This window comes from Homo sapiens, chromosome 22, assembly GCF_000001405.40.
Source record: "Homo sapiens chromosome 22, GRCh38.p14 Primary Assembly".
In the NCBI taxonomy this organism is placed as follows: domain Eukaryota; kingdom Metazoa; phylum Chordata; class Mammalia; order Primates; family Hominidae; genus Homo; species Homo sapiens.
This window is the reverse complement of record NC_000022.11, coordinates 40,146,525-40,170,212: the sequence shown is the minus strand read 5'-3', so window position 1 is coordinate 40,170,212 and position 23,688 is coordinate 40,146,525. Positions and strand designations below refer to the sequence as shown.

The 23,688-nt window shown below is 41.6% G+C and overlaps 1 protein-coding gene across 1 annotated transcript in view; it reads right to left on the bottom strand.

Annotated features, from left to right (window-relative positions):
- TNRC6B (trinucleotide repeat containing adaptor 6B) overlaps window positions 1-23,688 on the bottom strand; it is a 290,975-nt gene that overhangs the window by 165,596 nt on the left and 101,691 nt on the right. Inside the window, exon 4 of the mRNA NM_001024843.2 lies at window positions 14,031-14,098. Within this exon, the coding sequence (NP_001020014.1) occupies window positions 14,031-14,098 (68 nt within the window). The remainder of the gene's footprint in view (window positions 1-14,030; window positions 14,099-23,688) is intronic.

Sequence of the window (23,688 nt, the reverse complement as noted above, 5' to 3'; positions counted from 1 at the left end):
TCAACCTTTCAGGCTCAAGTGATTCTCCTGCCTCAGCCTCCCAAGTAGCTGAGACCAGAGGTGTGTGCCACCATGCACAGCTACTTTTTCAATTTTTTATAGATGGGGTTTCACCATGTTGCTCAGACTGACCTCCAACTCCCGGGCTCAAGCAATCTTCCTGCCTCAGACTCCCAAAGTGCCACGATTATAGGCTTAAGTCACCATGCCCAGCCCCTAAATATGTTACCTGTTAAGAAGTCTGAGATACTTATGAATTAGTTACTTGTAGCCAAAGAATTTCAGAAGGAGAATTATGAAAAATTCTTTTAAAATGTGACAGCAAAAATAAATAGATAAATCCACATATTTAATATGGGATATGTCTACGTATTTAATATGATATGTGAGTACCTTTTAATTTTTCCTATAAACACGGGATGAAGCCTTCAAAACCTCCTAACGTGAGTATGCCAAGGACCCTTGGAAGTCTTAAAACCACTCTGGTAGAGATACAATCAGATTTGTATTTCTAGAAGCTCTTCCTGGTTTCTGTATGGAGAATACACTACCAAGGATCAAGAGAAGCAGGAAGAAAAGTCGGAAAGCCACTGTGGCCATCTAAGTGAGAGAGGGTGGCTAGAGACAGCTGGGCAGTGGAGGTGGAGAAAAGTATGTAAGTACGCAGTATATTTTGAAGGTAGAAGTGATTCTATTGTAAGATAATTGGTACTTGTTAAGTATGTAATCTTGTGACAATGAAATATCGTAAGGCCAATCAATTCATTCAAAAATAGGACTCCAGACCAGGTGTGGTGACTCACACCTGTGATCCCAGCACTTTGGAAGGCCGAGGTGGGTGGATCATGAGGTCAGAAGATTGATACCATCCTGGTCAACATGGTGAAACCCCGTCTCTACTAAAAATACAAAAATTAGTTGGTTGTGGTGGTGCGCACCTGTGATCCCAGCTACTCGGGAGGCTGAGGGAGGAGAATAGCTTGAACCCGGGAGGCAGAGATTGCAGTAACCCGAGATCATGCCACTGCACTCCAGCCTGGCAACAGAGCAAGACTCCGTCTCAAAAAAAAAAAAAAAAAAAAGAAGATTCCAAACTCTGGACTCACCATTCATTCATGCAGTCAACAACCATTATTTGTTGCACAGCACCTACTATGTAGTAGGTACTATGCTAGGACTAGGCCCAGGGGCATACAAAAACGATTAATAACACCTCAAAGGAAAGACAGGCATGTAAATCCATAATTAAAATATAGCAAAGTATCAAAATGAAAGTATAAATAGAGATATAACATGGCTGTGCTATGGGAATAAAAAGGGTAACTGCTGGGAGAATAAGAAAAGATTTCACAGGGGAGGAGGTGAGAGTTTGAACTGAGTCTCAAAGAATGAGTAGGAGTTTGCCACGGAGAGAACCTGGGAAAGGCAAAGGCTTTTCCAAGTTTTACCAACTTCGGTACTACCAAATCATGGCAAGGAGGTAGGCTGACAAGAAAAAATGTCAATGGGAGAGCTAAGCATTTCTGCTATTCTTACTCCCAACAAAGTCAGAAGATAGAAATAATAGCCAAAACTATGTTAGATCTCCAATGCAACCTAAATCCAACAATCTCTGGATTCAGTTACAAATTAGAATGTTAACATTTATACTATTTAAGTTAGAATGCTAGCAGGCCTTTTAGGGAACAGTTTTTCTCAAATTCCTTAGAATTGAACCTCAAAAGTTAAATCTGCGTTTGGAGGAAGCCTTTCTTGACACTCCAGGCTGAGTCCAGTACCCCCATCTGTGTTCCAAGGCACCTCGTACATACCTCTAAAGCAGCGCCTTCATAGCCTGTTATGATTAACCACTTAATTGGCGTTTCCCCCTCTAAACAATGGACCCTTAAGAGGGCAGAGTATGTAGCTTTTATTTCTGGGTCTAGCACAGAAGAGAAATTCAATTAATATTGTGGAATGAATGAACAAATAAGCAAAGGAATGAATGGATGAATACTATGAACCTAGGTACTTTTAGGCTGTAAAAGAAGACAACACTTATCCTACAGTTCAGAGATAAGACATATGCATGAGGCAATCAACAAAAAAGTGTAAGATAAATTATTAACTGTATGGTTATGCTCTAAGAGAGACCAGTTTGAAAATGGAGGCACTACGGCTTAGATCAGTTGGGTTTCAACAGATAGATAGGACCAGAATGGTTGAAACAGATTTGCTTTGCTCTGAAGCTAATTTAAACCTGCAGGCCCCCTCACTTTCATGGGCCCCTCCTAAAGCTCTAGGAGGGATCCTAACAAAGTGCCCAATTATCCCGTATTTTTTGGTTACTGTTTTTTGTTTTTGGAGACAAGGTCTCGCTCTGTTGCCCCGGCTACAATCATGGCTCACTGCAGCCTCAAACTGCCAGATTCAAGCAATCCTCCTGTCTCAAACTCAGCCTCCCAAGTAGCTAGGACTACAGGCATGTGCCACCATGGCCAGCTTTTTTTTTTTTTTTTTTTTTTTTTTGGTAGCGATGGGAATCTATGCTGGTCTCAATTTTTGGGTTCAAACAACCCTCCCACTTTGGTCTCCCAAAGTGCTAGGATTGAGCCACGGCACCTGGTCTGAAAATTTTTATTGTGGTTAAAAAAACACAAAAAACTGATCATCTTAACCATTTTTAAGTGTATAGTTCAGTAGCATTATGTATATTCACTCTGCTGTGCAACAGATCTCCAGAACTTTTTCATCTTGCACATCTGAAATTCTGCACACATTAAACAACAACTTCATTCTTTTCCCCTTTCCTCAGCCCCTGGCAACCACCATTCTACTTTCTGTCTCTAAACTGACTGCTCTAAGTACCTTGGATAAATGGAATTATATATTAATAGTATCTGTCCTTCCATACCAACTTTCTTGCCATTATGGTTCCCCTTGTGTCAATGGACTTATGAGTGACTTCGGCCATTCTGGAGATCCCCCTAAGGAAACCTTAAGTTGAGGATACTTTTGTTTCGGGTTCAATGGAATAAACTAAATTTATGTGGTTTTCATAAAACTGTGTATGGTTGAGATAATGTTAACCATCAATGTACAAAGAGCTGTTACTAGGTCAACTCACTCTATCATGACTGAAATATGCGGCACTCTATCATGACTGAAATATGCGGGGCCAAATTATGTTATGATATACATATGTCAATTCAAAGGCCATTTCAGATTAGCCAATGTACAAGAAACAGTGAAGCCTGGCAATTTCATAGTGCATATATAAAAGATATTCAATAGAGGTTTTCCCAAAATTGCTAACAATTTTTTCTTTTTTTTTTTTTTGAGACAAAGTCTCACTCCGTCACCCAGGCTGGAGTGTGGTGACACGACCTCGGCTCACTACAACCTCCACCTCCCTGGTTCAAGCGAATCTCCTGCCTTAGCCTCCTGAGTAGCTGGGATTACAGATGTGTGCCACCACGCTTAGCTAATTTTTGGACTTTCAGTAGAGACGGGGTTTCACCATGTTGGCCAGGCTGGTCTCAAACTCCTGACCTCGTGATCTGCCCACTTTGGTCTCCCAGAGTGCTAGGATTACAGGCATGAGCCACCATGCCCTGCCAACACTTTTACAAATTTATATGATGTTACCAATAACAAGTTGTGAGGCAGAAAGGAACTTAATAACAAAAAACATATTTTGGTCTACCATGCTATAGGAAGCACTGAATTATTTACCTATTTTAGAAAATATCACAGAATAGGGAGGGATGATCAAAGAGTATAGCACGAAAAAAAAAAAAAAGAGTATAGCATGGCCAAAAAATGTAGGGGAAAACATTTCACAGCCATGTGTTAGGCAACCAATTAATACAAATATTACATTGTTTTTCTGAATTTTGTGGTATTTGTTAATTTTTTTAAGTTGCCATTTTTGTGATTTATCTCCTCTTTGTAAATAAATATTCACTTTTGAACCTAGTTTTGTCTTTGAAATTAGTTTGCTTTTTCTTGAAGAGTATTCCCACAAAAGCCGGATTTGCAGCTAGTCAGAAAGAAAGATTTCTTTGCCTGCCCAGAGATGTAAGGGAGAAGGAAACCAGACTTGCATGGAAGACCTTCAGGAGAGCCCCTGGCAGGAGCAGAAGTTCTTTTGAAAATATGCATAGACAGGCTAATAGCATCTTAGGGAGGTCCTTAGAAGAAAAGGTTCAGACTTGGCTAGAAAGGCATTTTCTGCCCAAAAACAAAACAAAACAAAACAACAACAAAAAAAACCACCCAATAACTGATAACTGGCTGATACAGTTTGGCTGTGTCCCCACACAAATCTCATCTTGAACTGTAGTTCCCATAATCTCCATGTGTTGTGGGAGGGACCCAGTGGGAGGTAACTGAATCATGGGGGTGGTTACTCTCATGCTGTTCTTGTGATAGTGAGTTCTCATGAGATGTGATGGTTATATAAGGAGCTTTCCCCCCCATTGCTCAGCACTTCTCCTTTCTGCCGCCAAGTGAAGAAGGACATGTTTGCTTTCCCTTACGCCATGGTTGTAAGTTCCCTGAGGCCTCCTCAGCCATGTGGATGTGTGAGTCAATTAAACTTCTTTCCTTTATAAATTACCCAGTCTCAGGAAGTTCTTTATTAGCAGCATGAGAATGGACTAATACACTGGCCTATAGGTAGGATGCTTAAGGAGAACGAAGATAAAATCAGGTCTGTTGGAACATATTCAAGAAAGGACTGAATCTAAAGTTGATGACTGGGCATGGTGGCTCATGCCTGTAATCCAAGTACTTTGGGCGGTTGAGGTGGGAGGACTGCTTGAGTCCAGGAGTTCAAAACCAGCCTGGCAACATAGTCAGGCTTTGTCGCTACTAAAAACAAAAAAATTAGCCAGGCATGGTAGTGCGTGCCTGTAGTACTAGCTACTCCAGAGGCTAAAGTGGGAGGATTGCTTGAGTCCAGGAGGTGGAGGCTGCAATAAGCCATGACCATGCCACTGCACTCCAACCTGGGTGACAGCGAGAGACCCTGTCTCAAAAAGAATTTTTTTGGTTGAGGCTTGAGTGAGCCCAAATTGCACCATTGCACTGCTTGGGTGACAAAGTAAGACCCTGTCTCAAAAAAAAAAAAAAAAAGAGCCGGGGGGAGGGGTGGGTGCGGTGGCTCACACCTGTAATCCCAGCACTTTGGGAGGCTGAGGCAGGCGGATCATCTGAGGTCAGGAGTTTGAGACCAGCCTGGCCAACATGCTGAAACCGTGTCTCTACTAAAAATACAAAAATTAGCCAGGCGTGGTGGTGGGTATGTGTAATCCCAGCTACTTGGGAAGCTGAGGCAGGAGAACAGCTTGAACCCTGGAGGCGGAGGTTGCAGTGAGTGAGCCAAGATCGTGTCACTGCACTCCAGCCTGGGCAGAGTGAGACGCTATTTCAGGGAAAAAAAAAAAAAAACTTTTTTTTTTTTTTTTTTGAGACAGAATTTTACTCGTTGCTCAGGCTGGAGTGTAATGGCGCGATCTCGGCTCACCACAACCTCTGCCTCCCAGGTTCAAGCGATTCTCCTGCCTCAGCCTCCTAGTAGCTTGGATTACAGGCATGCACCACCATGCCTGGGCTAATTTTGTATTTGTAGTACAGACCAGGTTTCTCCATGTTGGTCAGGCTGGTCTTGGACTCCTGACCTCAGGTGATCCACCCGCCTTGGCCTCCCAATATGCTGGATTATAGGCATTGAGCCACTGTGCCTGGTCAAAATAAAATTAAAAAAAATTAATTAAAAAAAAATAAAGTGGAACATGACATGTTAACATGTTAACAATGCCCTTTTTTTTTTTTTTTTTTTAAAGGCAGAGTCTCACTCTGTCGCCCAGGCTGGACTGCAGTGGTGTGATGTTTGCTCACTGCAACCTCCGCCTCCCAGGTTCAAGTGATTCTCCTGCCTCAGCCTCCCGAGTAGCTGGGATTACAGGAGCCCACCACCACACCTGGCTAATTTTTTTTTTTTTCTTTTTAGTAGAGATGGGTTTTCACCATGCTGGTCAGGCTGGTCTTGAACTCCTAACCTCAAGTGATCCACCTGCCTCGGCCTCCCAAAGTGCTTCAATGTACCTTTCTTCTGCTGATAACAGATAAAATATTCTGGAATTAGGCTTTATAATAACACCACCTCAGATTTCAAAGTGAGTGTGTAGAAGAGGGATTCTTAACAGTCGATGGGAACTTATTCATTCAACATATATTTATAGATGCTTTTTGTGCCAGGCACCTCTCTAGGCAGTGACCAAGACAACAGAAATCCATCCTCATAGAGCCGAAGATCTAGCATAAAGCTTTAACCTGATCTTTTCTGCCTTGAGCCTCCCCTCCCCTTATTTTATTTATAAAATTAAATAAAATAAAAAAATAAAATAAAATTGTGAAACACATTATCTATTAAAGTTACCCTTTTCTTTTCTTTCTTTTTGTTTTTGAGACAGAGTTTCGCTCTTGTTGCCCAGGCTGGATTGCAATGATGCCATCTTGGCTCACTGCAACCTCCACCTCCCGGGTTCAAGTGATTCTCCTGCCTCAGCCTCCCGAGTAGCTGAGATTACAGGCATGCGCCACCACACCTGGCTAATTTTGTAGTTTTAGTATAGACGGGTTTCTCCATGTTGGCCAGGCTGGTCTTGAACTCCTGACCTCAGGTGATCTGCCCGCCTCGGCCTCCCAAAGTGCTGGGATTACAGGCGTGAGCCACCGTGCCTGGCCTTTTTTTTTTTTTTTTTTTTTTTTGAGACAGGGTCTCATTCTGTCATCTATTAAAATTACTTTTTTTTTTTTTTTTTTTTTTTGAGACAGGGTCTTGTTCTGTCACCCAGGGTAGAGTGCAGTGGTGTGATCTTGGCTCACTGCCACCACTACCTCTCAGGCTCAGGTGATCTTGAGAAGCTGGAACTACCGGCACACAACAACACGCTCAGCTAATTTTTCCATTTTTTATAGAGATGAGGTTTGGCCATGTTGCCCAGGCTGTTCTCTAATTCCTGAGCTCAAGCAATCCTCCCATCTCTCCCTCCCCAAGTGTTGAGATTACAGGCGTGAGCCACCATGCCCGACCTTGAAGTTACTCTTACTGTAATTAATCCATGGTCCAGGCATCCAAGAAAAATCAAACAAAATAGAATTCAGAATTTATTACGATTCTGAGACTTCTGGGAAAAAAAGACTTTGTTAGAGAATTTTTTTAAAGTAATGTCAATGCAAATTACAAAATTTATTAGCAACTGAAAGTTCCCCAAAGATCTAGTACAAAAAAATGTTGATGGTTTTACAAAAACTCCCAGCAGCAAAAATTCCATGAGTATAAACTATCATCTACTGAACCTCTTTGTGGCATTTTCAAAGTACCAATTAACTTGAAAAGAAAACTCATTTCCCCCAAAAGCTGTTCAAGATTATACAGAAAAGCCAACTATTCTTCTGATGTCTAGCTTACTACTGTGTAATAATGATTGAGTTTACAGAGAGTTCAACTTGCTACTTCTTAATAAATTTATTTCAACATGTACATATTATAATGGTTTAAAGGGGGAAAAACTGGAGAAAACCTTATGGTGTAATACACAAAATTAAAACGTTAACAACAACAACTTTCCTATGGCCAAATACCAACATTTGTGTTCTGAAGATGATTATCTATAAAATCTATGATTTGGAAATATTTTTACTTTGCCCTGTGTTTAGGAAATGCTATAGAGCTGCCCAGGGTTTTTAAATAAACACCCAAAAGAATGGTTCCCAGAAAGTTTAGTGCCTAATTGGGTAGTCAAATATGAAACAAGAAATATGCTAATAAAACCGGGTGCGGTGGCTCACGCCTGTAATCCCAGCACTTTGGGACACCGAGGCAGGCGGATCACGAGGTCAGGAGATTGAAACCATCCTGGCTAACACGGTGAAACCCCGTCTCTACTAAAAAATAGAAAAAATTAGCCAGGCGTGGTGGCGTGTACCTATAATCCCAGCTACTTGGGAGGCTGGGGCAGAATGGCTTGAACCTGGGAGGTTGAGGTTGCAGTGAGCCGAGATTGCGCCATTGCACTCCAGTTTGGGCAACAAGAGCGAAACTCTGTCTCAAAAAAAATAAAAATTGGTATTTGGCTTCAAAATTAGAACAAGTGATCTTCCCACAAACCTTTAGACCATCACAAATATAAATAAGACCAAATCAAAAGCCCGTCTGCATTTTATCTATAATGACCTCTCAAAAAGCATGGTCAAACACAATCTATGAGCAAGTACCTGCTTAGCTGCTTTTTTAAAAGCTGTCATAGTTTTAATATTTACTCCTGCAGTAAACACGTCATGCAATTAAAGCTGTGTAATTTTAATGTAGTAATTATATGGCAATAAACTTTGCTTGTCTGATTTGCTAATATAATTCTCAAAGACAATATCCCAGAAAAATGATTACATTAGATAGACTAATAGTAAATAAACCCCATGGAAACAATACACATAAAGTGTTTACAGCTATATACATTATAAATCTTATTCACATACAAATACCAGAATTCAGCACAACTGATCTAGAATATTAATAGTTTAGCACAGATATTTCTCAATATCACAAGTCAATTATTTTTCAAGAGCTTTCTACATATACAGCTACCTAATCTGCCTCTTAATAGAACTTAGTTCTATTGAAATAAACATCACAGAAAATAATTTTTTGAGGTTTTGGGAACCTATGGTCAAAACGTTAAATGGGGAGATAAAGAAAGTGGCACAGATCAGCTAATTACATAATTTTAGTCCTAATCATTACAAGAATCTGCTCTGTGACCTTGAGTAAGTTACATTAGTCATGTGCTCTACCAGCCTCTGTAAGTGAAATGGGCTGTTTGTACAGGCTAATACCAATGAATGAGAACCATTTGGAAAAAAATTAAGTTAGATCTCTGCCTCACACCATATACAAAACTGAGTAGTGAATCAATTAAACATCTAAATGTAAAAACTAAAATAGAAAACCTAAAGATATTTTATCAGGTTAGGATAGGAAAGACTTCTCAAGGCAAGCATAAAACATGAAAGCCAGAAAGGCTGATTTTGCTATATAAAAATTTAAAAAGTTTGTTGGCATGAAAGATATCTAATGTTAAACAATAAGGACTGAGAGAAAATATTTAAAACATCTCAACAAAGGTTAATAATATCTAAAATGTATAAAGGGCTCCTACAAAGCTATAAAAACAATCCAATAAAAAAGGAAAATATATATAAATAGGTGATACACAAAATAAAAATAAATGGCCAATAAACTAACAAAAGATATTTCAACTCATTAGTAAGCATAAGAACATAAATTAAAACAAGAGGCCAGGGATGATAGTGCATGCCTGTAATCCCAGGACTTTGGGAGGCTGAGGTGGGAGGATTGCTTGAGCCTGAGCCCAAGAGTTTGAGACCAGCCTCGGCAACATAGTGAGGCCCTGTTTCTACTCAAAGCAAAAAAAAGTATCTGGGCTTGGTAGTGCGTGCCTGTAGTACAGCTACTCAGAAGGCTAAGGTGGAAGATTGCTGGTGCCCTGGAGTTTGAGGTTGCAGTGACTTACCTCGCTGCAGGTACTACTGTGTTGTCTAGCCTGTCAATCAGTCAATCAATCAACCAATAAAAATAAAGATATAAGAATAAGAATGTTTAATAAAATATTATTTGTAGTAATCAAGGAAGTGAGGGCCACCAAAATATCTCTTTTTTTTTTTTTTTGAGACGGAGTTTCACTCTTGTTGCCCAGGCTGGAGTGCAATGGCACAATCTCGGCTCACTGCAACCTCCGCCTCCCAGGTGCAAGCCATTCTCCTGCCTCAGCCTCCCTAGTAGCTGGGATTATAGGCATGTACCACCACGCCCAGCTAATTTTGTATTTTTAGTAGAGACGGGGTTTCTCCATGTTGGTCAGGCTGGTTTTGAACTCCCGACCTCAGGTGATCCGCCTGCCTCAGCCTCCCAAAGTGCTGGGATTACAGGCGTGAGTCACCGCGCCTGGCCCAAAATATCTCTTAGAGAAGAATGACTGTAGTATATCCATTCAACAGAATGTTTGACAGACGTTTAAAAGAATGAAATAGGCCGCTCAAGGAGGTTCATGCCTGTAATCCCAACACTTTGGAAGGCTGAGGCAGGAGGACTGCTTGGGCCCAGGAGCTGGAGACCAGCCTGGGCAACAACGTGAGACCTCATTTCTACAAAAAAAATTTTTTTTAATTAGCTGGGTACGGTGGTATGTACCTGTAGTCCCAGGCACTCAGGAAGCTGAGGCAAAAAGATCCCATGAGCCCAGGAATTCAAGATTACAGTGAGCTATGATCGTACCATTGCACCCTAGCCTAGGTGACAGAGTGAGACCTTGTCTCAAAAAAAAAGAAAAAGAAATAGACTGAAAATATCTCAAATTACAAAAGTTAAGTCTTAGAAGAATGATATTGGGAGAAAAATCAATTTAATTGTTGTTTAAAAATGTACAGAAAATGTTTAGGAAGATTAGGAAGGGAAGGGTTTCACCTTTCTTTTTTTTTAAATTTTTAAATTTTTTTTTTAATGTTTTAAGATGGAGTCTTGCTCTGTCACCCAGGCTGCAGTGCAGTGGCACAATCTTGGCTCACTGCAAGCTCCGCCTTCTGGGTTCACGCCATTCTCCTGCCTCAGCCTCCCGAGTTGCTGGGACTACAGGCGCCCGCCACCATGCATGGCTAATTTTTTGTATTTTTACTAGAGGCGGGGTTTCACCATGTTAACCAGGATGGTCTCGATCTCCTGACCTCGTGATCTGCCCGCCTCAGCCTCCCAAAGTGCTGGGATTACAGGCGTGAGCCACCGCGCCTGGCCAGGTCTCACCTTTATTTCTACAGTCACAATTGCTGTTTGAATGTTTTCTGACAAGCTTATATTACATTACTTTTATTAAAAAATTACTCAGTTCCGGCCAGGTGCGGTGGCTCACGCCTGTAATCCCAGCACTTTGGGAGGCCGAGGCGGGCAGATCACAAGGTCAGGAGATCGAGACCATCCTGGCTAACACGGTGAAACCCCATCTCTACTAAAAATACAGAAAAATCAGCCGGGTGTGATGGTGGGCGCCTGTAGTCCCAGCTACTCGGGAGGCTGAGGCAGGAGAATGGCGTGAACCCGGGAGGCGGAGCTTGCAGTGAGCCGAGACTGTGCCACTGCACTCCAGCCTGGGCGACAGAGCGAGACTCTGTCACACACGCAAAAAAATTACTCAGTTCCTAGATTCCCTATCCAGACTGAATCATATTTACAAAGTATAGTAATAATCATTTGCCAACTGCAGTTCTGAGATTTAAAAAAAATTTGTTTTGTAAATATTTTTATTGTTGTTGCCTCAAACAAAAGAACACAGCACCTTTGCTCACAGCACCTTGTGAGACGACTGATTTCTGCTTTATCACTTCAGTATGTAATAGCTGACCAGGCCCAGAAGAAAACAGAAATAGAACAGAATTCATCTGTGAAAAGGCCAGGCAGTATGAGACTTGTGAAAACAAAACAAGGGAGAATGGTAAGGATACGACACATGGCATTCCAACTTGCTGGGGCTGTTTGAAACTCTCAAAGAAGTACAGTTTGTATAACATAAAACTTGTAGGAGAATCTGCCCAGCAACATTTCCTGAATACCTAAATAAGCTGATTCAGGATAAGGGTTACTAGAGAGGTTTTTAAAGATAAAGACTGGTTTGTTTGAGAAATGGATATCCTTTATAGTACAGAACTTCCACCTGTTTTTTTAAAAATAGGCTTATGCCATTTTCATTGTCTCCCTCAACTCCCTCTTTATTTATTTATTTATTTATTTATTTATTTATTTATTTATTTATTTATTGAAGATGGAGTTTCGCTCTTGTTGCCCAGGCTGGAGTGCAATGGTGTGATCTCAGCTCACTGCAACCTCTGCCTCCTGGGTTCAAGCAATTCTCCTGCCTCAGCCTCCTAAGTAGCTGGGATTACAGGCGTGTGCCACCACGCCTGGCTAATTTTGTATTTTTTTACTAGAGACAGGGTTTCACCACGTTGGTCAGGCTGGTCTTGAACTCCCAACCTCAAGTGATCCACTCGCCTTGGCCTCCCAAAGTGCTGGGATTACAGTGAGCCACACCACGCCTGGCCTACTCCCTCTTATTCATGAGACTTTGATTTTGACAACTGCAGTTTTACTAACAACAGTATTTTTCAAGAGCATAGCTTCCAAGGATGGCAAAGGGTGTGAGAGAGTCGGTAAGATCTGGGTTCAAATCTAAATTGCATTTCAAGCTGCATTACCATGGGCAAGTTACCTACCCTGATCTCTGAGTGAAATGGAGATGAAATGGTGTAATGAGTGGAAATGACAGAGTAAAACATATTTAAGCAAAGTACCTTGTGCACAGAAAACCCTCGACAAATGGAGTTATAATTTTTATATGACAGACCTTTGACCAGAGTGTGGGGGTGGAGGGCTGTGCAGTGGACACGGAGAAAAGCACCTGAAGTGTTTCTCTTGTCATTCTACTGGGACTAGATGTCTGGCATTCTAATTTGCTAAAGATGAATTGATTCCATCAGCCCATGCAAAATGTAAGTGCATTTGATAGAATACAGCAAAGCTAGGATTTATATTGTGAGCTATTTTTAAAATTGCCTGGTTAGCAAATTAAACCAGCTGTGAAAATATCCTGGTTTCCATTCACAACAAATACAAGACGAGCCATTTTCCTTTAATGAATCTGGCCTCGTGGCAGCATAGTCCATTCTGCATAATTTATTCCTAAGGGTTTTAAAGACATAATTTTCTTAAGACAGACCAAAATTAAACTATTTTCTAGGAAAAAAAATATGAATGAGAGAAGTTTCTCTGTATAGATTTTTGGTAAATTCCATAATCACTGGCCCATTCAATTTAGGAGACTAATGTCTGAATAAAAAATAGTAGTTATGTCAGTACTTTAAGCAGTCTTAACTGTTTTTCCTTTAAAAGGGCATATGAAAAACCAGTCTGCTCTGCAACACAATTTTTCACATTCTATGACGGAGAGAGGAAAAAAATTCACTCACTGCTATCAAAAAGCTACCCAACAGACTCCCAACTTCAGGTTTAAAACCAATCACCCCTGGCTGGGCACGATGCCTCACACCTGCAATCCCAGCACTTTGGGAGGCCGAGGCAGGCAGACCACCTGAGGTCAGGAGTTCAAGAGCAGCCTGACTAACATGGTGAAACCCCATCTCTACTAAAAATAGAAAAATTAGCTAGGTGTGGTGGCGGGCAACTGTAGTCCCCGCCACCACACCTAGTCCTATTTAGGAGGCTGAGGAAGGAGAATTGCTTGAACCCAGGAGGCGGAAGTTGCAGTGAGCCCAGATTGCACCACTGCACTCCAGCCTGGGTGACAAGAGTGATACTCCGTCTCAAGAAAAAAAAAAAAAAAAAACCAACAACAAACCAATTACCCCTTAAGGAGTTAGGGGAGAGATCCTGAATTATTTGGAATGTTGGCTAAGTTATATTATTTATAATTCCTGTTCCTTTAGAGAAACAATTTGTTATTTAAACAAAGATCAGCAGTGTAAATAACCAAATGGAATAGAATTTCAGAAAGTACCATTCAAATAAATTCACACTTAGATTGCAGGGAAATGGTCTATTAGTTTAGTTCACTTCAGAAAGACAATACTGAGAAAAGGATGTACCATTTTATACTTTCTTTGGAAATCAACCAAACAGAATTAGTTCAATTTGGAACATACTGAGCCTTAAAGCCTTTGCTACAACATAACATAAATTTTGATTAGGCGAGTGTGAAAAACTGTAACGCTAACTTTCTTGTCCTTCTAGTTAGTTGGTCTATAAATAGAAGCAATGCATTAACAGCCACCAAAGCAACTGGTGAGTTCCCCAATGTCTCCAACGTATACATCTCTGACAAACACGCTTATCAGCATGTTGAACCAAAGTGTTTCCGAGGATCTGTAATAGGACTCTTTTTAAATAAACTGTGACTCACTGTTTGCTTTCTTCACCAGGAGGTGGAGTCTTGCCATGCCCTTCCATTACAAAATCCTCCTGTTCCACCTGCAAAGGCAAGCACCACAGGTCAGCAGCAGTCAGTAACTACAATGCGACTCACTCCAAGAACCCACACCTGCCCTGTGCAGAACCACAGGGCCGTTTCACTGTGGTGCACAGAACAGAAGCCTGGGCCAATGGTTTTCAAACTTCTCCTTGAGTGATTAGATCTGCAGAAAAAAGGAAACATGTTGATCGGCAAAACACATAACTCTGACAAAGGATTAGCATCTAGAATATAAAAGAACGGTGATGAATCAATGAGACAAAGACAACCTACTAGAAAAATCTGCAAATAACCAAGCAGGAATTTCACTGAAGAGAACACATAAACAGTTTCTAAACATATGAAAAGATGTTCAATCTTATGTCAGTCAAGAAAATGCAAATTAAAACCATTTCACAACTACTAGGTTGGCTAAAATTAAAGTCAGGTAATACCAAGTGTTGACAAGGGTATGCAGCAATAGCAACTCTTATCCACTCCTAGTGGGAGGGAAAACTGGTATAGCTACTTTGAAAAGCAGTTTTGTCAGCCAGGCAGGGTGGCTCACGCCTGTAATCCCAGCACTTTGGGAGGCCAAAGCGGGCAGATCATGAGGTCAGGAGATCAAGACCATCCTGGCCAACATGGTGAAACTCCGTCTCTACTAAAAATACAAAAATTAGCTGGATGTGGTGGTGTGCGCCTTTAGTCCCAGCTACTCAGGAGGCTGAGACAGAAGAATTGCTTGAACCTGGGAGGCAGAGGTGGCAGTGAGCCGAGATCACGCCACTGTACTCCAGCCTGGGCGACAGAGCAAGACTCCGTCTCCCCCAACAACAACAACAACAAAAAGTTTGCATTATCTATTACATTTGAAGATGCATTTACTGTACACATTAGTAACTGCACTTACTTATAGGTATATACCTAGAGAAGCTTTTGCACATATACAAAAGTATTTATAGTGGAATTATTTTTAACAGAAAAAAATAGAAGAATAAACATCTGTCAACAGTAAAACAGATAAATAGGCTATGGTGTTTTCAGAAAATAGAATACTATATTGCATGAAAATGAATGAACTACAGCTACACACCTCAATCTGGGTGAGTTACAAAAAGGTAATCAAGTGAAGGAAGCAAGTCACAAAAGAATGCATATGTAGTATGATTCTATAAATATCAAGTCCAAATATATATATATTTTAGAGCAAATTGAAGCAGAATATATATATATATGTATATATATATATATATATATATATATATATATATTTTTTTTTTTTTTTTTTTTTGAGATAGAGTCTTGCTCTGTTGCCCAGGCTGGAGTGCAGTGGTGCGATCTCGGCTCACTGCAAGCTCTGCCTCCCAGGTTCACACCATTCTCCTGCCTCAGCTTCCCCAGCAGCTGGGACTACAGGTACCCGCCACTATGCTCAGCTAATTTTTTTGTATTTTTAGTAGAGATGGGGTTTCACCGTGTCAGCCGGGATAGTCTCGATCTCCTGATCTCGTGATCCACCTGCCTCGGCCTCCCAAAGTGCTAGGATTACAGGCGTGAGCCACCACGCCCAGCCAGAAAATATGTATTTTTAACCATATGTATGTACATATAGGCATACATACGTATATACATGCTTTTATTTTATTATTTATTTATTTATTTATTTTTGAGATGGAGTCTCGCCCTGTCACCCAGGTTGGAGTGCAATGACGTGATCTTGGCTCACTGCAACCTCCACCTCCCAGGTTCAAATGATTCTCCTGCCTCAGCCTCCCGAGTAGCTGGGATTACAGGCGCCTGCCACCACGCCCAGCTGATTTTTGTATTTTTTTAGTAGAGACAGGGTTTCACCATGTTGGCCAGGATGGTCTCGATCTCCTGACCTCGTGATCCACCCGTCTTGGCCTCCCAAAGTGCTGGGATTACAGCAGTGAGCCAATGCGCCCAGCCCATGCTTTTATATTTAAAGATATAAAGAAAAGGCTGAGGGCTATGGCATGACCCTGTAAGTCCCAGCTACTTCGGGGGACAGAGGCAGGAGAATCAATTGAGCCTAGGAGTTCAAGACTGTAGCGCTCTATGATCACACCTGTGAATAGCCACTGCACTCCAGTCTGGGCAACACAGCGAGACCCTAAGTCTTAAAAAAAAATAAAGAAAGCCAATAATTTCTTAATATTAATATTAATTAATATAATTTCATAAATGGAATTATTCCCTTTCTTTAATGATTTATTATAATTTAAATTACTAATTTTATTTAAAAATTAAAATTTATATTAAATACATATACATTATTTAAAAAGTCAAATAACATTAATACTACCGGCTGACAAACAAAAACAGTACTTTCCACCCCTGCCCCACCCTCACAACATAAGCCTCCATCCTCCCTTCCTCACAATGTAAGTTACCGTTTTTGTTCAACTCAATATTCAGTGCTAACAGTGCTATTATGTAGTAAATATATACAGCTGAATCATATGGAATGCTATAATTAAATTTCCTTTCTTGTATAATTTTGGTTTCCCTGGAACTAATAATTACCACTTCCTCTTCTTATTCTTTTTGTTTTTTTTTTTCTAGCTTAGTATTTGTTATGTATTTTTCATTAATTCATCCTCAAACTCTCCAACAGAACTGTAAATCTCCTCTTAATCAGTTCAAACACTTCAGGTAATCTATCAGTTTCACTCCGCCTTGGAGACACCCTCAGGGGTTTCTCCTGCTCCGAACTGGATTGATTGCTTTCTAGGCCACTGAATCGCTGACATCTCGCTAGGGATGTCTCCTCCTCTTCATCTCTGGAATGCCCTCCTCTTTCTCCTAAGCTGGAGCATCTGTTTCCCAGATCCTCTGTCTCTTTTACAGTTTACTCACTGATTCAGGTGGAGTATATATTCCAGTGATTTCCTGATAAAAGGTATATAGAAGGTGAATTTTTTTGAGACCTTGAATGACTGAAACGTCCTTGTTTTATCCACACATATAACTGACACATAAAAATGTTTTATTTATTTTTATTTTTTTTGAGATGGAGTCTCGTTCTGTTGCCCAGGCTGGAGAGAAGTGGTGTGATCTTGGCTCATTGCAGCCTCCCCTCCTGGGTTCAAGCGGTTCTCCTGTCTCAGCCTCCCGAGTAGTTGGGACTACAGATGTGTGCCACTACACCTGGCTAATTTTTTGTATTTTTAGTACAGACAGGGGTTCACCATGTTGGCCAGGCTGGTCTCGAACTCCTGACCTCAGGTGACCCATCTGCCTCAGCCTCCCAAAGTGCTGGGATTATAGGTGTGAGCCACCACACCCGGCCATAAAAACATTTTTTTTACCCACATATTTAATTAAATATAAAAGTTAAAGCCAGGCACGGTGGCTCACACCTGTAATCCCAGCAGTTTGGGAGGCTGAGGCAGGCGGATCACAAGGTCCAGAGATCAAGGTCATCCTGGCCAACATGGTGAAACCCCATCTCTACTAAAAATACAAAAATTAGCCGGGTGTGGCCGGGTGCGATGGCTCACGCCTGTAATCCCAGCATTTTGGGAGGCCAAGGCGGGCGGATCACAAGGTCAGGAGATCGAGACCATCCTGGCTAACATGGTGAAACCCCGTCTCTACTAAAAATACAAAAAAAATTAGCCGGGCGTGGTGGTGGGCACCTGTAGTCCAAGCTACGCAGGAGGCTGAGGCAGAAGAATGGCATGAACCCGGGAGGCGGAGCTTGCAGTGAGCCGAGATCGTGCCACTGCACTCCAGTCTGGCAACAGAGCAAGACTCCATCACAAAAACAAAAACAAACAAACAAAAACGTTGAAGTCAGTAAACTTTTCCGTCCAAAATTTTGAGGGTGATGCTCCGTTGTCTTCTAGCTCCCATAGCTGCTACACAGAAGCTCAGTATCATTCTAAGTCCTAGTGTATTGCATGTGTCTTCTCTAGAAACATTTAAGTCCTTATTTTTATAGTGGTAAGAAAGAAAGAAAAACAAAACCAAAAACAAAAAACCCTTTTAGGAGCTTTCATTTATCCTTAGTTTTTAAAAATGCAAACCACTAAGCAAGGTTCTTTTTTTATTTATTGAACTGGTGCTAGGTAAGTACTTATAATCTAGAATCTCTTGTTTTTCAGGTTTGGGACATTTTCTCTACTTATTTGACAGTTTCCTCCCTTCCAACTTCTGTTCTCTCCTTCTGGAATTCCTGTTATTCAGTGTTGAATCTCTCAGATTAACTGATTTGCTTTCTTTCTTCTTTCTTTCTTTCTTCTTTCTTTTCTTTCTCTTTCTTCATTTTTGTGTCTGAATGAATCTCTGAGATTGATTTTCTTCTTTCTTTCTTTCTCCATTTTTGTGTCTTTGATTTTTTTATTTTAATTTCTGGGAGGTTCTCTCAACTTTATTTTCTAAAACTTTTAACATATGTACAATTTCTGCTATTTTAATTGAATTTTTAAGAGCTCTTCCTCGTTCTTTGAATATTCCTTTTTCCAGTCTCCTGTTCTTGTTCCATTATAACAATATCTTCTCTCATCTCTGAGGATATTCTAGAGAGTTTTTGTTTTAGTTTTTTTCTTTTTTCTTTTTTTTTTTTTTTGAGATGCAGTCTCACTGTCGCCCAGGCTGAAGTGTAGTAGCATGATCTCAGCTCATTGCAACCTCTGCTTCTCCGCTTCAAGAGATTCTCCCTGCTTCAGCTTCCCGAGTAGCTGGGATTACAGGCGTGCATTTTTAGTAGAGATGGGGTTTCGCCATGTTGGCCAGGCTGGTCTCAAACTCCTGACCTCAAGTGATCTGCCCGCCTCAGCCTCCCAAAGAGCTGGGATTACAGGTGTGAGCCACGGTGCCTGGCCTATTTATTTTTGAGACAGAGTCTCACTCTGTTGCCCAAGCTGGAGTGCAGTGGCGTGATCTCGGCTCACTGCAACTTCCACCTCTCTGGTTCAAGCGATTCTCATGCCTCAGCCTCCTGAGTAGCTGGGATTACAGGCGTGAGCCACCACACCCAGCCTGTTTTAGTTTTCTTCTGCTCCCTACATTGTCTCTGTTTCCTCCAAGTTCCTCTTTTGTCTTTGGTCACCATCTTTCATTCATAGATTTTTATCAAATGTCTGATCATTCTTGTCTATCCACTGATATTTAAGAGCGAGACCCTAAAGAGCTTGATTTTGGGTGTATGTGTGTGTAGGAGGGGAGGGGTAAGGGAGAGTTTCCTTATCCAGGGGTTAGCTTTCTGGAGGGTGATCAGGAAGGGACCTGCCCATTTAATTAGGACCTTCAGATGCCTACAGCTATACATCCTCATCTATTTCCCCCTCCTTGGGCTATTTAATTACCCCAAAAAGACATCCTTCAATCCTCAACCTGACAGATATAAGTCAGGCTTTCAGTGTTCTGGGAATGAATTTGGGAAGAGCTGGTAAAGTCTCATATGTCAGCATGTAGCCTTTTATGTAAGTTCTGTTTTTAATTAGGTACCTCACACCCACCCTCAGCTTTTCCTGAGGTTCAGCCTTTCCAGTCTTCTGCCAGGTGGGCAAGGGTAGTGGTCTGTGGATATGAGGAAAGCGTATCTGGGGCCTTGCTTCTCATCGCCTCTTCAACCCATCTTGCTGTTTTTAGTGTTATTCCAAAAGCTTCCCAGCTTCCAAAACTTTGTCGGGCATCTCTTATCCTCTTCATCTCTTCTTCTATTCACTTTGTTTTCTGGTGGATTTATGCTTGCTGAAATCATTTCGTAAAAATATATATTTTTTTGAGATGGAGTCTCGCTCTGTCACCCAGGCTGGGGTGCAGTGGCACGATCTTGGCCCACTGCAAGCTCTGCCTTCCGGGTTCACGCCATTCTCCTGCCTCAGCCTCCCAAGTAGCTGGGACTACAGGCGCCCACGACCACGCCTGGCTAATTTTTTGTATTTTTTAGTAGAGACGGGGTTTCACCGTGTTAGCCAGGATGGTCTTGATCTCCTGACCTCGTGATCTGCCCGCCTTGGCCTCCCAAAGTAAAAATAATTTTAGTGGCACTTTAGAAGGGAGCAGCAGACATTAATAACCTGCCTTAGTTTACCATGTCAAGACTTATTCTTAAAACCTTTTTGACTCTACTTTTTCCACCCCACCGAAACTATTTTCAATTTTTTGTTGGCTTTCATTTTAAAAAAAATTATTTTATACCAGGTGCAGTAGCTCATGCCTGTAATTCCAACACTTTGGGAGGCCAAGGCAGGAGGATGGCTTAAGCCTAAGATTTCAAGGCTGCAGTGAGCTATGATGGCACCACTGTACTTCAGCCTGGGTGACAAAGTGAGACCCTGTCTCTTAAAAAAAAAAGTACAATTTTTAGTTTTGACACATACATACACATGAAATCATCACCACAAGCAAGACAATGAACATACCACCCTAAAAGTTTCATCATGCCCCTCTTTAATCTTTTTTTTTTTTTTTTTTTTTTTGGCGGGGGAGGGAGACGGAGTCTCGCTCTGTTGCCAGGCTGTAGTGCAATGGCGCGATCTCGGCTCACTGCAACCTCCGCCTCCTGGGTTCAAGAGATTCTCCTGCCTCCGCCTCCTGAGTAGCTGGGATTACAGGTGTGTGCCACCACGCCTGGCGAATTTTTTTTGTATTTTTAGTAGAGACGAGGTTTCACCATATTGGCCAGGCTGGTCTCAAACTCCTGACCTCGTGATTTGCCCGCCTTGGCCTCCCGAAGTGCTGGGATTACAAGTGTGAGCCACCGCACCCAGTCATCCCTCTTTAAGCTTCCTCTCCTGTGACCCTGCCTAGGCAACCACTGATGAACTTTCTATCACTATAGATGCAGCTGCATTTTCTGGAGCTTCCATAAGTGGAATCAAACAGTATGTACTCTTTTTCTGTCTGGCTTCTTTTACTCAGCATAATCATTCTGAAATTCATCCATGTGGTTTCAAGTGTCAATAGTTCATTTTCCTTTCACAGCTGAGTAGTATTCCATTGTTCAGAATGTATCACAATTTGATGGGTGTTTGAGTTGTTTCGATTTTTGCTACTGCAAATAAAGCTGCTATGAACACTCACATATGTATTCTTTTTTATTGAGTAAATACCTAGGAGGGTGTATTAGTTTGCTAGGGCTGCTGTAATGAAGTATTTCAAATCTGGTGGCTTAACAAACAAATTTTTTGTCTCACTGTTCTAGAGGCTAGAAGTCCAAAATCAAGGTATTGGCAGGGTTGGTTCCCTCTGAGAGCTGTGAGGGAAGGATGTGTTCCAGTCTGCTCTCCTTGGCTTACAGATGGCTGTCTTCAGTTTCACATGGTATTTTTCCTATTTGTGTGTTTCTATGTCCAAAGTTCCCCCCTTTTAATATGAACACCAGTCATACTGGATTAGGGCCTATCCTAATAATCCCATTTTAACTTAATTACCTCTGTCAAAGTCCTATCCCCAAGTAAGACGACATTCTAAGGTTCTGGGAGTTCGTATTTCAACATAATTCAACTCATAACAGAGTAGAACAGTTGGATCACATGGTAGTTACATGTTTTAACTTTTTAAGAAGCTGTTTTCTGGCCCGGCGCGGTGGCCCACACCTGTAATCTCAGCACTTTGTGGGGGGCAAGGCGGGCAGATCACAAGGTCAAGAGATTGAGATCATCCTGGCCAACATGGTGAAACTCCATCTCTACTAAAAATACAAAAATTAGCTGGGCGTGGTGGCAGGCGCCTGTAATCCCAGCTACTCAGGAGGCTAAGGCAGGAGAATTGCTTGAACCCGGGAGGCGGAGGTTGCAGTGAGCCGAGATTGTGCCACTGCACTGCAGCCTGGCAACAGAGCAAGACTCTGTCTCAAAAAAAAAAAAAAAAAAAGAAACTGTTTTCCAACGTGGTTGTAGCCATTTTACCTTCCTTCCAGCAGCGTATGAGAGTTCTATTTGTCCCATGTCTCATCAATAGCAGTACTTTGTGTGGACTTTTTAATTTTAGCCAATTCTAATCATGGTTTTAACTGCACTCATGTTGAACATCTTTCTATGAGCTCCTTTGCTATCTGTTCTCTGGTAGTGTCTTCAAGTCTTTTGGCCATTTAAAAAATCGTTTTATTGAGATATAACCTATATGCCATAAAGTTCACCTGTTTAAAGTACACAATTCAGTGGCTTTTATTGTATTTACAGAATTGTGCAACCACTACCACAATCCAATCTTAGAACTTTTTCATCATTCCAAAAGAAACTACTTACGTAACAGCAGTCACTCTCCATTTTGCCTCCCTTTCATCCTCCTTCTGAGGCCCAGACAACCACGAATCTACCTTCTATCTCTACAGATTTGCCTCTTTTGACTTCTCATATATAATTGGAGTGACATAATATGTGGTGTTTTGTGTCTGTCTTTGCTATGGTCTGAATGTGTCCCCCAAAATTTGTGTTGAAAACCTAATCCCCAGTGCAATAGTGTTGGGAGGTGGGGCCTTCTGGAAGGTGTTTAGGTCATAAGAGTTCTGCCTGCATAAATTCACGCTGTTATAAAAGGGCTTGTCAGGGACGCACTGTCGCTTTTTGCCCTTCCACCTTTTGCCACGTGGGGACGCAGTATTCCTCCCTCTTAGAAGCAGGGATTGGGGCCTCCCCTGACAACAGATCTACTGGTGCCTTGATCTTGTTATTCGCGGCCTCTAGAACTATCAGAAAATAAATTTCTGTTCTTTATAAAGTACCTAGTCTGTGGTATTTTGTTATAGCAGCATAAACAAACTGAGATACTGTGGAACCATCAACCATCCATCTCCACAATTCTTCCATCTTTTCCATCTGAAACTCTGTACCCCTTAAACAGTAACTCCCCAGTCCCTGCTCCCCCCAGTCCCTAACAAGCACCATTCCACTTTCTGTCTCTATGACTCTGACTCCTCCAGTTACCTTATATAAGTAGAATCATACGGTATTTGTCTTTTTGTCACTAGTTTGTTTCACTTAGCATATGTCTTCAATATTCATCTATGTTGTAGCATGTGTCAGAGTTTCCTTCCCTTTGTAAGGCTAAATAATATTCCATTGTATGTATATACCACATTTTGTTTATCCATTCACCCTTCCATGGACACTTGGATCACTTCCACCTTTTCGCTATTGTGAATACCTCTAAGTAATATTTAATACAGTAGCCATGTCCACCCTTTTGAAAATCTCTGCCTTGTACTGGACCATCTTCCGTCATTTCTTTTCCTCTCTCTCACCCAATCTTAGAGGCTTTGGATTTATTCCTTTGACTTAGAAAACGTTTCTTGTTCGGGCACGGTGGCTTATGCCTGTAATCCCAGCCCTTTGGGAGGCCAAGGCAGGTGGATTATGTGAGGTCAGGAGTTCAAGGCCAGCCTAGCCAACATGGCGAAACCCTGTCTCTACTACAAACACACACAAAAAATTAGCCAGGCATGGCGGCGGGCGCCTGTAATCCCAGTTATTCAGGAGGCTGAGGTAGGAGAACTGCTAGGGGGAGGAGGTTGCAGTAAGCTGAGATTGCGCCACTGCACTCCAGCCTGGGCGACAGAGCGAGACTCCATCTCAAAAAAAAAAAAAAAAAAAAAAATTAGCCGGGCGTGGTGGCACATGCCTGTAATCCCAGC